The sequence below is a fragment of the Homo sapiens genome, chromosome 2, assembly GCF_000001405.40.
Source record: "Homo sapiens chromosome 2, GRCh38.p14 Primary Assembly".
Taxonomy (NCBI): domain Eukaryota; kingdom Metazoa; phylum Chordata; class Mammalia; order Primates; family Hominidae; genus Homo; species Homo sapiens.
Window position 1 is genome coordinate 151,664,659 of NC_000002.12, and position 18,183 is coordinate 151,682,841.

Below are 18,183 nucleotides of genomic sequence, written 5' to 3' on the forward strand. Positions count from 1 at the left end.
AGAGGTCCTGACTACAAAGTGGTTGGTATGTAGAATGCAGACATAAGTATCAGTTCCCTTTAACCTTCTCCCCAGCTTTTGCTGTTGTTAACCTACTTACATCACTCATGGTGATTTGGTTTACTCTGGAGAGTAAAATATCCGGTGTGTCAGGCATGACATGAATGGTGGTCTTGTCCTTGTTCCATTTTTCAGTGTAGAGCCTCTGCAATGAGAAAGTCAGGTGCATGATTTTACAGCAGGACAAGTTTGACCCAATGCTAGCAAGAGGAAGAGATTTACAACTCCATGGTAAAAGAGGTTAAATGGATATTAGAAAATGGATGAAATAACAAAAAGATGGGCCAAGTAAACTAAATACACAATAAGAAAAAAATTGTTGAATACGGCAACCCTCTACCACCAAAGCACCAAATACCATCTTGCCCCCACCGCACAACCATGTGGAGTTTTGTGGTTCTGTCACATTCTTAACATGCTGTTGAGAGATGATCTGAGGGGTCACTATGAAAGAGAACGCTCTAAACATAATGGAAGCAATAGAGTCCCCCTCCCACCACCGGCACGAAGACGATCAGAAAGAAACACTGTAGGAGACGATTGGGGCACTGCCAGGCTCAATGTCATGAACACCATGAGGGTTCCCTGGGCGAGGCTGGCAGGTGAGTCCTTACCTTGTCCATGTTCAGTTTGTTACTCTTGTTAAGTGCCTGTTCCATTGTGTCCATGGCGTAAGTGAACTTCAGCTTCTCGGGGTGCTGGCGATACTTCTTCTCACTAAGAATCTCTCCTGCTTTCTTTGCCTTCTCCACCTCCAGGGACTCTATGGGCACCCAGCCGATCCCTTTCATCCAATTGGTGAAGTCAGATTTGTACAGATTCTTTACAATGAGAAAAAAAATTTCATTTCAGAAAGAGTCAGGGCTTGTGTTTCTTTGGCTATGTGATTTACTTACAATCAAAAAGAAAAAGAGAAGCTGGGAGGGGGAGAATAATCTGCTTTTTACTCCCTACAGTCTTTCAGAAGAAATTAATTATAAAAATAATTGCATTCATAGTGGTTTTGAACAGGAAATCCTGACCCAGCAATTCCTTTAACAAGTTAACTTTCTTGAGGAAAATAAATGAAAAATTAACAGAATTTTGCACTGGAAGGAAAATTATATAACATCTATCTGAGCCTCCTAATTTTTCATAGACAACATCATATGTTTGGGTCTAATACCAACATTTTAAATATATTTGTATGCATATATATAAAATTAACAACAAAGCCACCTATAGTTCAAATGAGTGAAATCCTAAAACTCTGAGTTCTGGAGGGAATCCTTAATTACAGTGAGTGCAGCCAGGTGTGGGATGGAGTAAGTGGCTCCTGTTTTTTCCTCCCACCCATTAGAAATGGATAACAACTTGGTAACCAGTACATACATCACTCTGAATCTGCATGGCATTCCTGGAGTGCTCCACATTCAAGGCATCGGGCAGGAGAGTGTAGTGGTGGTATGACTGTCTGTAGTTGGCGTTGGTGGCAACCTCCTGAGATTTCTTTGCAGCTGTCACACTGACCATATCCAGAGGTGTGTGGTACTTGGTCTTGCTGGCTTCATAGCCCTTTTTGTACTCACGATCAGACTGGATTTTGGCCACATTCATGTAGTGAACCAGTTTAGGATCATCCTGAAGACTGAGAAATCCAACTTGCTTGCCTTTGGCTTTCTCGTAGGCCTCCTTATATTTGCACTATTTGAAAACAAAGGGCAAACAGAAGTTGGCTAGCATAGAAGTCTGATATAAACTGAATTTATACAACAAATTAAGCAAAAGCCAACTTCAGTCTGAATCTAGGTAACATCGAAGTTTTTTTTTGTATTTTAAAATAAACAATTAGCAAAATATTTTTAATGGCTCATCTTGAGACCTGCCCTGGAGATCATTAAAAATGGAATAATGGAATAGTTTATATTAATACTCTTCATAAGTAGATTATTTGAATATACTCAAAGGTTCCTGAGAAGTTGGCTTATGAAGCATTTGATGTACGCTTTTTTTGTTTTTTGGTTTTTTTGTTGAGACAGGGTCTTGCTCTGTCCCCCAGGCTAGAGTGCAATGGTGCAGTCATGACTCCCTGCAGCCTCTGGGGCCCTCCCTCCTCAGCTTCCCAAAGTGCTAGGATTAGACGTGTGAGCCACCATGTCTGGTCAATGTATGCTTTTTTATGACTATATTTCCATTATTAATTTGTATTACCTTAAAACGTATTTGTATGAGTAAATTTCAGCCCTAATACAAATTAGTGTATTAATCTTGAAATTAATGCCTTTTTTCTCTATCAAGGCATTTATTATGTCAATTCATATAGGAATATAACTTAATTTGTAAAAAAAAAAATTAACTAAAATCCTGTTATGTAATTAACTAAAATCCTGTTATATAATCCATGGAAATAGAAATACGAAAAACCAGAAAGAATCAGCAAAATATTTTTTCTGGTTTTCCATATTTCTATTTCCATGGATTTTTTTTCTTCATGGAAATTATAAAATTAAAACACTGAATTATTTTAAAATACTTGGAGACTTTTCTAATTTAGTGATATTTTAGTATATCATGACTTTTTTCATGACAAAATCCAAATAAAAAGTGGTTTTTAAGTTCATAACAATGATACTAATGAAAGTTTTAAGTACGTCACAGTTTTTAAAAAAGAATTTTCTTCTAACAACTTTATTAAGCTTTTAAATATGTGAAAAATATTTTAAGTGAGGCAATATAAATAACGTAATTGGCAATTAGGATTTTAGGAAATATTTTTATATTATAATTTCTTTACTTGCTTCTTTATGTAGTTGATACAATCTTATACATCACATATAGATTTTTTTTTCTTTTTTAGAGATGGGATCTCACTCTATCACCCAGGCTGGAGTGCAATCACAGCTCACTGCAGCTTCAAACTCCTGGGTTAAAGAGATCCTCCCATCTCAGCCTCTCAAATAGTTGGAACTACAGGTACACGCCACCACATCTGGCTAATTTTTTTTTTTATTTCTGTAGAGACAGGGTCTTGCTATGTTGCCCAGGCTGGTCTTGAACTCCTGAAGTCTTTTAGATAGAAAGTTTCCTACTTTTAAGTTAGACTTACATCACTAGCAATATTCCTTGAACTTTTTGCAGCAACAATTGGGATGGCATCTGGTCTCAAATCATAGCCCTTGGCAATGGTTTTCTTCCAATCTGCTTTATAATGAGCCTTCAAAAAAGTAGAGGTTATTTTATTATTTGACATCATTAAAAGAGGAATGAAACAGAATGCCAAAATGTTTCTTATAAAACATGTCGTAATAGATCCCTTTCTATTAAGACAATCTATGAAGTTAGGACTATTAGTTTGTCTTTTATGTATATAATTGATTTTATTTAAAAGGATCAGTAAACTGTATACACAGTATAATCTCAACTGATCAAAAAATGTATATGCTTGCATAACAAAGCAACAGAAAGGTAATGCTTTGACTGTTGGATAACAGAAGGTTTTCATTTATTTGTCATAATTTTCTATATTTTCCAACTTTTCTATAATAAATATATAATACTTTTGGAAAAACGTTTCTTGTAATGAAGCATTTCAAGCTTATAGGAAGATATGAATACTAAAACTAAAAATCCAGATGTAGTACAACTCAGCTTTAATTGATCTTAATGCTTAAATATTACTTAGAAAAATCTTTCCCCTTAATGAAACAAAAGCACAGGAATGTATAGTTGGATATGAAACAGAGCCTAAAAACATTGGAAAGAATGAATAAGCCATCTTTTAAAAAATTAACAATTTTATCCAAGTTTTATTATGTTTTTAAATTAGGATTTATCAATATCCTTTTTTTAAAAAAGGAAACAATTCATAATAGTGGATTTAAACATTACCACCAATTAGATGTCTAGACCACTCAAGAGAAAGGCTAGTTACATACAAAAAAAGATTTTGTGAAGAAAACTAAACTTTTTTGGATGTTTTAATAAATAATTAAAAGTTGTAAAAAGCAATGTTTTCCATACTACAGACTAGGCACTCTTGTGTTTTCCAATCTTGTCTGTCTCATGTTCCATTTTTTTTTTAAATGGGACACAACTTACTTGACTGACTTTACAACCCACTAATAAGCCACAGCCCATAGTCTGGAAAAGCCTGTATTAAGCAAAATTTTATTGCCGCCCCCTAGGCTCATGTTGCATGGTTAAGGGTTTAATGTGGAGGCTCAGGGTCCACACTGAATTGCGCCCCCTACAATTCTCAGAGCAAGAGTTGCAAAGAACCAGAAAGGAGAGGCCCGCATACGCAATATTAGCACTGGGCCAAATACTCACATCACTCATGTTGAGGGCGTTGACTTTGGCTTGAATAAACTGAGGCAATTCAGGGTCAATAGTATACTTGTGCTTCAGTTTCTCTCCCTCTACCTTGTAGTTCAACTAAAAACAAAGGAGACAGCATGCACATATCATTAGCTGACATAATATAAATTTCATCAAGCAGAGACTCCTTTAAAACGGAAGGCTATCATTTGTGTTTTCCATTTACGAGACAAATACCTACTCTGTCATAAGGGAGGGGCCCTGGTAGATGCATTTATGTTCCCATTCTACCAGTATTTATTGGACAGCACTGTGGGCCAGGCAGGGTGGTAAGTTCTGTGTTTAAAGAGGTGAGGAAGGCATATCTGTCCTGTTGGAGCTTACTGTCCAATAGAAAGGACAGACATAAAACATGTAAACTACAAACTATCACTAGAATTTGTGATGTGTTGTCAATGGAATCATTGTAGCAAAGAAACAAGGATGGTCAGTAAAGCCACTCTGCAGAGGTAACATTTACACTCAAACTTGGAGAGAGGGGCAGAGGAAGAGCATTCGGGACCTGAGGCTGGAAATGGCCTGGCCACCTTGAGGAAATGAAAGCAGTCCAAGTCACAGGGCTGGAATGTGCCTGGGTAGACGTGGGGGTGGAGCAGTATTAGACAGAAGGTGCAGAAGGGCCACAGAGAAGAGGGTCTTTTGTCAAGTTGATGAGTTTAGATTTCACTTCACATTCAAGAAATTCCTAAGAGGTTTTACACATAAGAGGGACATGATTTGATTCGTGTTTTAAGACAGGCTCTTGCGATTGTTTGAGACCTCAGGCAGGGAGTCCAGATAACAGGTTATTGCAGTTGTCCACACGAGCCATACAGAAGCTGGAAGTAGGGTTGGTGGCATTTGAGAGCAGACTGGCTGAGAGATATTTAGGAAGCTGACTCAGCAGAGGTACTGCATGTGGGAGTTCACACAGGGAGGTGTTAACCGTGACTGCCAAGTTTCCAGCTTGAGTAACGAGGTAGATGTTGATGGCATTTATTGTGATGTGGAAGACTTTATATAGTGAGTGTACAGTTTGCCTAGCTAACTGGAAAAACACCATGAGAAGTGACATCTCGCTCAGTACAAAAGAAAAAGAATTGACACCAGTTATTACTCCTAAGATAGAATTAACCCTTAGACATCTGTGATAATGTGGGGGCAGGAGCTAAAATCCATAGATCTTCAAATCCAAGGCAAGCAAAGCATTTCCCCACCTTCCAAAATCTGGGGCTAAAATACAAAAAGTCTTTCTTTGCTTTTTACTTACCCGTCTCTTTCTGGTGGAGGCATTTTAACAGAACTCTAAAATTAACAAGTCATGTGAGGCCCTGAGCATTGTAATTCGCTTCTGACAGAAAGAATAAGAGTCCATACAGACGTGTCTCAGAATGAGACATACAGACGTGTCTCAGAATGAGACATACAGACGTGGTATGAGTCCACGGTGTAAGAGTCCATACAGACGTGGTCTCAGAATGAGATCCCAGATGACTGCAAATAAACTGCTTATCTCCTCCCTAGAGGCCTCATTCTAAGATTGCCTCTCAGAACATGGAGCTATTATGCGAGGGGATTAGGACATTATGCCTCTTCCCTATGTGGCTAGGTAGAAATATTGCAACCAAGAGCAATAAATAGCTTGTTTTGCAATTCATACAGAGCCACAGATAATGATAGTAATAATGTTATTTCATATGTATAATGCGTATCTGCTTATGAATAGCACAGGCTCTCTACATTTGGAAAACAAAGCAAATTTGGAATAGTCCCCCATTTTCATCTCCCTGTTTTTCCCATGTTCAAGATCCCAGTTGCCTCAAAAGGCAGCCCTTTCTCTCATACCTATGAAAGCAGTTTATTTGCTAACATAGATGCATCCTCACACATTGAATTAAGAAGGACGGAGGAGCGGCTCAGACACGTGTGGTTATTTACGGGCAAATCATTTTGAAAGGAAAGCACTCACATCACTTAGCTGCTTTGTGTTATGCTGAGCCAACACCATGCCCATGGAATCAGGCACACTTGTGAACTTGACGGTATCTGGGTGCTGTCGATACTTCCTCTCATTTAATGCATCGCCTGCTTTCTTGACCTTCTCCACCTCCAGGGAACCAATAGGGATCCATCCGATGCCCTTCAAGAAGCTGTTATACTCGTCTTTATACACATTCTGTAAAAGGGTAAGCTAATATGAGAAGATACCCTGGAGAATATTCAAGGGATGTTTCTGGGATCTGCAATTCTATCCAAGGGAAATGAATAGCAACTCTTCAGCATGCTCATGTCTGACTGTCTGTCACAGAGCTTATCTGGAGTGTGGTAATAAGAAGAAGCTGTTCTGTTGTTAGAGTGCATTATACAACACAGAAGGGAATCTAGGTCACATATTTTCATGGGTACTGCTAAAAAAAATTTTGTCACTTTTGACAATAAATTGGTACTTTCTATAATGGTTGTTTATCTTAAAGCATTTTTTTTCAAGTCACTTACTGTATTATGAAGCCTAATAAAATAGAAATGATCATGCTTTAGACTGCATTATGCAACACAGAGGGGAATCCAGGTCACTATGGGTGCTGCTAAAAAGCATTTTGTCACTTTTGACAATAAATTGGGCTTTCCTTTTGATTCCACTGAAGACTTCAAAACTAAATTACATCCATACTGTCCACCTAGGCTATGCTTGAGCTCATCTGGGGAGCAATATTTTTATCGAGTGCCAATAAATGTATAACACTTCTTTCCTTTACAGAGGACAATTCTAACAGAAATCTGGCTCCTGCAGCAGGAGAGGCTCTGAATGTTAAACACCTTTCCATGCAACTCTCCATGAATCATGTTGCAAGCACAAAACCTTCCTGGTTAATTTTAGATGACTCATTACAGAGATTTACATGGATGACATTGTGACCTTGAGTTAATAAAGGAAAAAAAAAAACACCTTTCCCAAATTCAGGAAGGATAGAAAATTCTTCTATTTTTGCATTTTGTATCTATCACCATTGCAGCCAACCCATCAGGAATACCCATCTCCTCTTGCTGTGAATCAAAGTGGCTCTCATAGTTAGTGGAATATAGTTTTATCTTTTATCCATAAGTTAATAAAGACAGCATCAATAATTATGATATAAGCACAGAAAGCAGGCAAAAACAGCTTGTCTACCATGCCTTTGGTAGTCTTTCAGTAATGGTTGTTTATTCTAAAGTGCATTTGTCAAATAGCTGACTGTAGTATGAAGTCTAATAAAAGCGAGAAGTGATCATCCTTTAAGTGCAAACATCTCTGGGTCTGTTGTTACACATACTTACATCACTCTGAATTTGATTGACATTCCTCGTATGCTCAAGACTCATGGCGTCAGGTAGGTATGTGTAATGATGCAATGGCTGTTTGTAGTTGACATTGGTAGCGACATCCTGGGCCATCTTTGCAGCTGTGATGCTAACCATGTCCCCAGGGGTATGGTAGCTGGTTTTGGTGTTCTCATAGTTCTTCTTGTATTCACGATCAGACTGCAGCTTTGCCACATTCATATAGTGGACCAGCTTGGGATCATCCTGGAGGCTTCTGAAACCCACATGCTTTCCCTTTGACTTCTCATAAGCTTCCTTGTATTTATACTGTGGAGGCAGAATTGGGTTAGCAAAGTCCTAGGCATTGATAGCATTAGCGCTGCAATTACATTCACATATAAAGACACTCAGAGCTTTGTGACTTTCTCAAGAGTGTACAAAAAATGCAAACCACAACCCCCTCCAAAAAGTTCAGTGAAAACATATATTGGAGTTACAAGTGAGTGTCACGATAAATTCAAGATCAGTTTATTTTCTTTGCTATGACTCCTACAGATAATTTGCATGTGGAACTTTATTTTAAACAAACTGAATTTTCACACTTAATATGAACATGACACATTCTAAATATAAGGCCAATATCTCTTGGTTTCATAGGGTTTCATAGGTTTCGATTTAATATGTTATTTACATCACAAATATGAGTACCAGCTATAGGATAGCTGGGCCTTCACTGACTCCTTTTATCAGCAGCTGCTTTCCAAGCTCACTGCTGAAACAGCTGCAAATAAATTAAGGAGCCACAGTAAGGACCTGCTGTGGGGTTTTCCCATCAATAAAAACCTAATGGAAAAAGTTCTGCTGTCCAAAGTCTCTCACTGCTGGAATCAGCAATGTGATATAAATTGGAGCAATCTTGTAACAGGTCAGAACCTCAACTGTTATGCAAGAGAATTCAAATCCACTTAAACCCTGCAGACTTTCAGCTCCTGCTATTTAAGCCTTAATTCATAAATAAGAGTTTAGCAGGCAAAAGGATCGTCAAGTAATTTCTAACATGTGAAAAATCACTGTGTAAGTGCTAAAAAAAAAAAAAGAAAAAAAAAGAATAAAGTTATACTGTAGACTTTCACTTTCTACTTAGACTAGAAATGTATTTCATAGTGATGTGCATTGTGTGCAGACCTCCGAGGAAGATGTTTTCAGTATCATTCCTACAAGGAAAGTAGCAGAGTTTTTACACCTCTATTTCCTATGTGGTCTGTATACCTGGTTGGTTTCTTTCTTCTCTTTTCTCAAACCAAGATTTTATTCCCTGGGATAGCATGTAACAGTGAACTCTGCAGGGCATGCATGCTTTCTAAAAATTTTTCTTTTTCTTTTTTTTTTTTTTTTTTTGAGATGGAGTCTCCCTCTGTCGCCCAGGCTGGAGTGCAGTGGCGCAATCTCGGCTCACTGCAAGCTCCGCCTCCCGGGTTCACGCCATTCTCGGGCCTCAGCCTCCCTAGCAGCTGGGACTACAGGTGCCCGCCACCATTCGATCTCCTGACCTCGTGATCCGCTCTTCTGAAATTTTGGCCAGGCGTGAGCCACCATGCCCGGCCAAAATTTTGTTTTTCAAAGATGGAAAGGAGTAGAAGTGTATACTTTTTCTGTTACAGGAAATGGACATCAATTTACATGAATCAAAATTATATCCTAAAAAAGTGGACTTTTCCCTCTTTGGTTTATAAAAATCTGTACATTTTATATAACATCTTTTCAATCTTTTTAATACAATTATAATGCAGGCAGTCATTTGAATTTAATGTGGTAATGTCAGTCAGGGTGTTCCCACTGAAAATAAATGTGGGCTGTCAGGGAAATGTGTCAGTGAAGGTAATTTGGGCTATGAATCAAAGGAGAAAGCCACTGTCAGATTTATGACAGCTCTACCAAGTGGGGTCAACTGAAAAGAACCACAAAAATGTTTCTAAAAGTGACAGGTTTTTCCAAACAATATTTTGAGAATTTAAATGCCATTAATTTAACATATTTCTTTCAATAAGGTATCAATTTAAACAAGCATTTGATTACTTTTCAAAAAGGCAAACACCTAAACTTCACCTAAAATTTGTACTCACATCACTGGCAATGTTTCTCGATGCCTTGGCTGCAGTGATGGGAATAGCATCGCCCAGCACATTGTTGCCCTTGGCTATTAAGTCATACCAATCCCGTTTATAACAGACCTGGACAGAAAAGCAAACAGAATGTCAGCATCTGTAAGTGATTCCTCAACTGCTGGGATTGTTTTGTTCTTTTCCAGACAGAAGTTGAAGGAATCCCTCATAGCACATACTGCTTTAGGAAATCACATTGGCAAAGTGTCACACTGTGTGTAGCATGAGATCATTGGACTCTGCACTAATTATTCACCTACATCTGGTTTTGACACATATTGAAGAGAGGAATATTGAAAGACTGGATCCAGAGAAAAACAAATAAAGGTTCTGGAAACCATGGTATGTGAGGACCAACTAGAGACAATGAAGTTGTTCATTCTCATGAAAGGAATGTCAAGAGAAGACCTGGTGGTCAGCTTTAGAAATTTTAGGGTTGTTATTTTAAAAGGGAGCTCATTTATTCTTATGTTTCTGGAGGATAATAACCTCCCCCACATGCAAAACTAGGAAAACCAAGTAGAAGTTTTAGGGGAATAGATGGTGAGCTCTACCATCCCCTAAATAGAGAAGAATGTTATGTCCTTTAAAATTGTCCTACATTTGAAAAGGCCAACTGAAGAGGTAAAGAACCATCCTTATGGGATATGTTCCAGTAGGGGATTTGTGAGAAATGGGCCTAAATAAATTGTCAAGGCACCATCCTACTCTTAAAGTCTATAATTTTATTGTCAGGTCCGAATTTCACATCCCAGCAAAGACCCTACTTACGTCACTTATATTGTAAGCATTGCACTTGGCCTGGAGAAACTGAGGAAGATCAGGACTCATGGTGTATTTATGTTTCACATCTTCTCCTTTAGCCTTGTATAAGATCTGCAATAAAATGCATTTCACATAGTGCAAAAAGGAAAATCTATTAATTGTTTGCTTTAAAGAGTTATTTTTAGCACAATCACCCATGATTTTCTAGTGTTAAAAATCATCAAAGGCATTTTCCTATTTTTTTAAATAAAACAAGCATCTTATTATCTTTAATACCAACAAGTCTTGTGTGTTAAAATAGAAGGAGAAAAAATCCTTAAGAAAATAGAAATTGTTCACTGCCCAAGATGAATGGAAGGTAAATTCAACCATGAAACCCTAGCAAGAATAATAGAATTCACCAAAGCCAAATCAATTTATTATTTGCCTGTGAGTTAATAGCTCTTCCATTTTTGTTAGTTTCTATTTTTTTATCCCTAGAGAGAAAGTAGTAGTTAGAATAAGTTTTTCACTTCTGCTAAAAACTTTCCAAATTATAATTGTATCAGTGAAAGCATACAATAATTTCCTCATAATGTAGAGGTGCTTATACATGAATCTAGCATACTCAAAAGGCTCACTATTTCATATTTGCCCTATGTTGTTACTTTAAAGAATTATATACACTTTTGACTGAAAGATGTCAAAGTATGTGATGCAGAAATCTTACTGCATCCTCCTCCTGGTATTAGAAATATATTACTTAGTTCCTAAAACTAAAATAGAGCCAGAATCACAAGTAGATTTTCAATCTCATAATTCTCATTTCTCATATATATCCTTATTTCCAAGGCATGACTATATGGAATATGACATGTAAACTGGTATGCATGTACCCAAGATAAAATCTGACATGGCTAATAGCTAAATTAATCCCCAAATAATAAATAATTTCTTCTAGGACCCAAAGAGTTACCTCTAAGTCCTCATTGCCTTTAAGAACAATATCTAAGCAATGACAGATTCATGAATTCGACCTTCTACACAGCTCCTTCTCTGCCATTGCTACTGCCTTAGCTTCAGTCCAATTAAGCCTTCCTTGGATTTCGGTGACAGCCTTCTAATTCATCTTCTCACCTCCAGTCTCTCCTCTTTCCAAAGTCTCCACACTTGGGGCCAGCATTGTCTTTTAAAACACAAGCCTGATAATGCGGCTCCATCGATTAAACATATTCAACATCTCTTCTTACCTACCCCCTAATATCCAGACTCTAAAAATTAGCATACGAGTCCCTTACTAATCAGGTTACAATCCTGAACCTTTTGCTTTTACACTTTTTCATTCCTTTCCTACTGCTGTTATATTGTTCATTCCTTTTCTACTGCTGTTATATTGTTCCTTTTGCCAGGAATGCTCACTTCTCTCACTTGCCTGGGAAACTCTGGTAGGCAGTTACCTGTGTACAAGGCACCTCCCTTGTATTTAACATTTTCCTCTCCTGCGGCATTTGTCTCTCTGGATGACAATGCTCTGTTTGTAGCCATGTCTTTGTCTTATGCTCTTACCCTACATTCTTGTGAATTTCTATATCCCATGAATCCTCATCTATTTCATCTTTATGCCATCAGCAGGTAATACAGTGCCTGGCACATGGTAAATGTTCAAAAAGCATTCATTAAATAAATAAACGAGTGAATGCTTTTGATCTTCTGTATACCAAACTTTCCTTTAGAAACTTTGACTTTAGCCAGAGCATAGACGCTGCTCATGGACAGGCAGGCAAACGATACACACCTCAATCAGATGTAAGTTAAAAAGTCTCTGTGATAATTGTGTATGCTGAATTCTTAGGAGCAAAAACATATATTCATATGTATTACTTCTCTGTATTAATGTCTTATATATGAAAAGAAAATATGAGAAACTTAACATAGAATTGAATACAACAAATCTGCCACAATAAAGTGTCTGGGATTTAAGCTTAAATTCTGTGTATGTATGTGTTTGCATGTGTATGTGTGTAGTCCTAGAATAGAATTTTTTCACCATGTCAAGTTTATTCAATAACACAATATTTCAAAGACAGTTAAAAAGGAAAAGTTTTTAAAAAGGAAGATAAAAAGCAAGAGAGAAGAAAATGTTAGTGCCCAAACTACACATAACTGTAATTTTTAAAAAATTAAATAAACAAAATAATTTAAAATGGAAAGATATTGGCCCAGAAAAAAAATATATTGGGCTGCTGTTTACTTTTCTAAAAAGCTTCCTCCATATCCTCTGTCCTCTCTATTTTATTGTACTCACATCACTGACTTGCTTCGTGTTCTGTTTTGCCTGGACCATAACTGGGGAGTCCACAATGCTGGTAAATTTGAGGGTGTCTGGATGTTGCCTGTACTTCTTTTCATTCAGAGCATCACCGGCCTTTTTAACTTTTTCGACGTCGAGACTGCCAATAGGAATCCAGCCAATGCCTTTCATCCAGTTGTTGTAGTCTTCCTTGTAGACGTTCTACAGCAATGGAGAAAAGAGGAGTGAGGGCCTAGGACAGGGTTCTTTTCATGGCAGGCTCTGAACTTAATAGGGGGGTTTCTTGAGAAGTAAATGACACTTACATCACTCTGTATCTGCATCATGTTCTTAGACAGCTCCAGGTCCATGGCGTCAGGCAAGTAGGTGTAATGATGGAGAGAATGCTTATAGTTGACATTGCTGACCACATCCTGGGCTTTCTTAGCCGCCACGACATTGAACATATCATGGGGCGTGTTGTATTTGGACTTTGTCTTCTCATAGTCTTTTTTATACTCCCGATCTGATTGTATCTTGGCCACGTTCATATAATGAACCAGTTTAGGGTCATCTTGAAGACTTTGGAAGCCAACCATTTTCCCTTTAGCCTTTTCATAGTCTTTTTTGTACTGAACCTATTGTAAACAAAGGTGGGCATAATTTAAAATGTAGTTTTGAGGGCTTTACTAAACAATGAGGCCATGATTTGAAGTAATTGAGCTTCCCAAAAATTACTGTACTTCAATAACCAAACAATTAACAATTCACTTGCATATGCTCTGAAATGTAGCCTGCTTAAAATAAAAATGTTATGTATTATGGAACCCATTTGATTGTCTATAGCTGTTTCTGCCTATCCAAGTGAGGTTGAGATGGGGCATTACCATAATTTGTATCAGTGACAAAACAGATCTTTATATTCTTCCTTTGCATTTAGACATTGGTAGAGAAAAATGAAAAGATAAATATGTCACAATCTCTACCAATTACATTGTGCTACTAGAGTACAAGTAGCTGGATATTTAATTAGTTTTAGAATTTTTAGTAGTAGTGGTAGGATGTTAATATCAATGATAGTAGAATTTAATAAGTCCTTGGATATTCAAAGGGAGACCCAGAGCCAGGAGGGGGTAAACACTAACTGGCTCTGGATAACAAAGTGAGGGGGACTGAGCTTCCTCAGAGATATGTGGAGGGCACTGTGGGACACTGAGAAGCAGAGACATGAGGGAAGGTTCGTGGAAAGTTGGGGCAGGGGCAGCTGGAGGAAAGTACCCACAGAGAAAGGGGGTGGGTGAGAACTTCGGGTGGGACAGGGGCATTTCAGAACGAGGACATTTGTTATTCAATCATCACATATTTACACTGGTGCGATGTAAACCTAATTTCAAACAATCAGTAAAGTGGTGTTTGGGACTCTGGGAAGTCAAAAGGAAGGGGCTGTGTTTCATTTCTGGGTCATACAGAGCAGCAAGAGGAGACCCGCAGGAGGAGGGCGCAGATGAGCTCAAGCCAGCCAGGAGCCAGAGGTAAGCAGAGAAACAAAAACCTCGGAGACTCCACAGAAATCATGGGGAGGGGGATTCCACTCCCTATAGAATAACAGATGGGGGCTTGAGCCAATTTTATTTAAATCTCAAAGAGCAAAATGACTTCAGTTCACATCTTGGTTAAAGATAAATAGGATAAGAAATAAAATTCTTAACTGTAATAGAACCCAAAGACTGGCTATTACAGGTGGTGAAATTGAGGCCTATTCACCTGTCTACAGAAGTAACGAAGGAAAAAGGGAGAGGAAAGGGGAAGAAGGAAATCATATAAATTAATAAAGTTTTGAGATAACATTTTACCATCAGGAGGCTATTATGACTTAAATGGTAAGTCACTTCTGGATCTCCACAAGAGAAGTAATGTGAGTTAGTGTAGAACTATACATGAGAATTTTAAATGAGGGGGCTTGATTAGAACTGATCAGTAGAAGGTTATACAAATCTTTTCCCTCCAGAAAATTTAAATCTATTTAGGGAACTTTATTTCCTAAATAGTTTTCAATCAGATTTGCTTCCAATTGGGGACTGCATGCATGGAGACTTTTGGGTCATCGTCAGACCCCAAGCCCACCCACCCACATTTTCTAGTTGCCCATGTATGACCACAGCTGGACTTACGTCACTCGCCGCCTGCCTGGCAGCTTTGGCAGCTCTGATGGGAATCGCATCAGTTCTCAGGTCATATCCCTTCTTGCTCAAGTCTTTCAAGTCTGCTTTGTACATATTCTGAAAGAAAAATGTCATTTAAGTACAACTTAGAGACTGTGTTAGTAAAGTCTGGACATACGCATCAGCCCGTGAGTCCACCCACGCACCTCACTGATATTGTAGGCATTAACTTTAGCCTGGATGAACTGGGGCAGGTCTGGTGGCAGGTTGTATTTGTGAATAATTTCCTCTCCTTTGGCTTTGTAAGCGATCTGAAAGAGAAAAAAATGCATAAACAAACAAATAAAGTAGAAAGAAAATTTAATGGCACCAGAAAATAATTTCCTAATGGATCATATTTCACAGAGGTGGTTTTAGGAAGGACACTCTTTGTGCATTTGCATATTCATGTGCAAATATCTGTAGGCATTCAAGGTCACACATGCAGTTGCTTAGGATACTGTCTCAGTGCTTATTCAGTTTTGCAAAGATCCCTTGGAACTTGCAGTAGGAACCTCTGGGCCTAGCTCAGGAAAGTGTAATAGGGTGGAATACACCAACCACCTATATTATATTTTGTGGGCAATTAAAAGGACTTAGGGATGGTTTTGATTATATATGATTTTTTTTTTTTTTGCACTGACTTAAAATATAACTGCTCCCCATTTGATATACTCATTCTTTCTGGTCTTTCCTAGAAAAAGGCTTGTAGTTTTTGTTGTCATTAAGAGAAGTCCCTCTTACCTTTTCCTTAGAAAGAAATGTCAAATGGCTAAAAGGACAGTCAGCACAATATACATTACTGTAAATATATGAATTAGGCATGCTTTATTAATGAACAGCTGGGGAATTCTACAGATGCTTGTGTAATTGGGTCTCTTCATATTGTATAATAACTAGAGGTGATCAGTACATTTGAAATACAAATGTATTTGTATTAGTTAACATCTATTAACATATAGATAGCATTAACACTTACATCACTCCTCTGGGCCTGGTTAATTTTAGACTGTACTGTAATTGGAGCATCTTCAATCGAGGTAAACTTGAGGGTGTCTGGATGTTGGCGATATTTTTTCTGTTTGGCAAATCAAAAAGAGAAAAACAATCTTGTTTTCCACTGAAGATTAATACGTCAAAATCCTTGAAATTTATTTTGAAGCGAAAAGGAAGAGTTTTTCATGATTTTAAAATGCAAAAACACTAGATTCTTGATTGGCTTGATGAATGCAATACAAAAGTCAATATCTTTAAAAATCCATTTAATTGTGGATAGTTTGGGACAGCACAGACACATATACTGCTCTCAGGAACCAGACAGACTCCTTTCTTAATTTCTTGCCTATGACATGAAACAAGACACCCTCAGCTAAGCAGAATCTGGAAACATCACAGAGTTTTCTAAAGGTTTAACAGAAAAGCAAGCAAGGAGATTGGAGTGCCTTTGCATGGCACAAACAAGTTCTCTTTTTCCCTGTTACTCCATCAGCAAATGGCATCAAGAAGCTGTCCGGTTGAGGAAGGAGGAATTGAGGAACTAGGCCAACAGCTAGGAATTATTAAGAGAGACAGGACTTTTGCTCTGCAAGTCTTAATGTGGTTAGTACGTAAGTTATCACCAAAACGCTGAAGGGGCACTGCAGAGGAGACCCTGGGTAGGTGTGCCCACTAGGAGCTGGCAACTTCTAGCTACCTTATTCCTGTACGCGTCTCTATTTATTTTCCCAGTCCTCTTCCTTTGTGCATGTTGTACATCCCAGTTAGCATCATCACTCTTTCGGCTTCAGACTTCTAAAAACCACTAACCCAGAACTTTCTTCTGGAAGATCTTTGAGCAGACAAAATGGTTTTCATCGAAAACAAAACACCGAACAAGAAGTAAAACTTGAGCGTGGAAGACAACCCTCATACCACACCTCTGTCCTTTGTGTAGTCTGCCCTCCTTGAGGATGTACTCACCTGACAGCAGTGAGACTCTTCAACTGTCACAGGGGAGGGACAGATAATCTTGCTGCCTTATGAGCCTCAAGATCATCACTATTTTTTCTTACACTGAATTATAATTTATACATTACTTCAAAGCCAACCAGAATATGACATATGGAATAATTCTTCAAAGACGATTTCTATAATAACTGCATTATTCATAATCACAAAAAAATAGAAACCATCCACATATCCCCCAACCGGTGAAGCAATAATAACAATGTGGTGTGTATTATGCTGGGGCAAAAGTAACTGTGGTTCTTGCCATTACTTTTAATGTCAAAACTGCAATTACTTTTGTACCAACCTAATAAATCCATACAAAAGATTTACTTAATAATTTTTAAAAACCAAATTACAAGCAGAAACATTACATGAAGTGAAAGAAGCCAGATACAAAATAAATTTCTAGAAAAGATAAAACTTTAGAGACAGAATGCAAATCAGTGGTTGCCTGGGGCTGAAGATGAGAGCTGAAATTTTGGGGGGAAACTTTTTGGGGTATTGCAGCATTTTAAAATTCAATTGCAGTGATGACTGCACAATTATATGAATTTATTAAAACTTGTCAAAGTGTACACTTAATGTGAGTTACTTTTATTGTATGCAAGTTATACCTTAATAAAATTGTTAAAAATATTTCTATAATGAATGGCTAACATAAATGAATGGTTAACGTAAATGGTTAACAAGTTATACCTTAATAAAATTGTTAAAAATATTTCTGTAAGGAATGGTTAACATAAATGATTTTGGTAATATAAAGGTTTGTGCTGGTCTCCCTGGGTAATTTGTGCACGTGGTAAGCTCTTTTCCTCAGCAACAGTGACTGAGAATGAAGCAATGAAGGAGCACTGCCCATGCTTTTGAGAGCTTTAACACAACACAGTCACCACTCTCCCTCTGACACACCCAGTGGCTTTACCTCATTGAGGATGTCTGAAGCTCGCTTTGCCTTTTCCATTTCTAAGGACCCAAAAGGCACCCAGCCACAACCTTTCATCCAGCTATTGTAGTCAGCTTTGTATTCAACCTAAAACACCAAGAGAAAGGTTACATTTCTTTGCTGTGTCATCCTCATTATGTAAAATCATCAAAGTTTTAC

General features: G+C 37.8%; 1 protein-coding gene across 47 annotated transcripts in view; it reads right to left on the reverse strand.

The window, feature by feature from the left end:
* The window catches only part of NEB (nebulin), a 249,138-nt gene that overhangs the window by 179,320 nt on the left and 51,635 nt on the right, over positions 1–18,183 (reverse strand). For all 47 annotated transcript variants that reach the window (XM_011511227.3, XM_011511226.3, XM_005246613.3 and 44 more), the window contains exons 29-43: positions 18,004–18,111; positions 16,072–16,170; positions 15,260–15,364; positions 15,063–15,170; positions 13,218–13,529; positions 12,907–13,113; positions 10,629–10,733; positions 9,819–9,926; positions 7,711–8,022; positions 6,365–6,571; positions 4,369–4,473; positions 3,146–3,253; positions 1,432–1,743; positions 675–881; positions 101–205 (exon numbers count right to left, since the gene is read on the reverse strand). In XM_011511227.3, the coding sequence (XP_011509529.1) occupies positions 101–205; positions 675–881; positions 1,432–1,743; positions 3,146–3,253; positions 4,369–4,473; positions 6,365–6,571; positions 7,711–8,022; positions 9,819–9,926; positions 10,629–10,733; positions 12,907–13,113; positions 13,218–13,529; positions 15,063–15,170; positions 15,260–15,364; positions 16,072–16,170; positions 18,004–18,111 (2,508 nt within the window). The remainder of the gene's footprint in view (positions 1–100; positions 206–674; positions 882–1,431; positions 1,744–3,145; positions 3,254–4,368; positions 4,474–6,364; positions 6,572–7,710; positions 8,023–9,818; positions 9,927–10,628; positions 10,734–12,906; positions 13,114–13,217; positions 13,530–15,062; positions 15,171–15,259; positions 15,365–16,071; positions 16,171–18,003; positions 18,112–18,183) is intronic.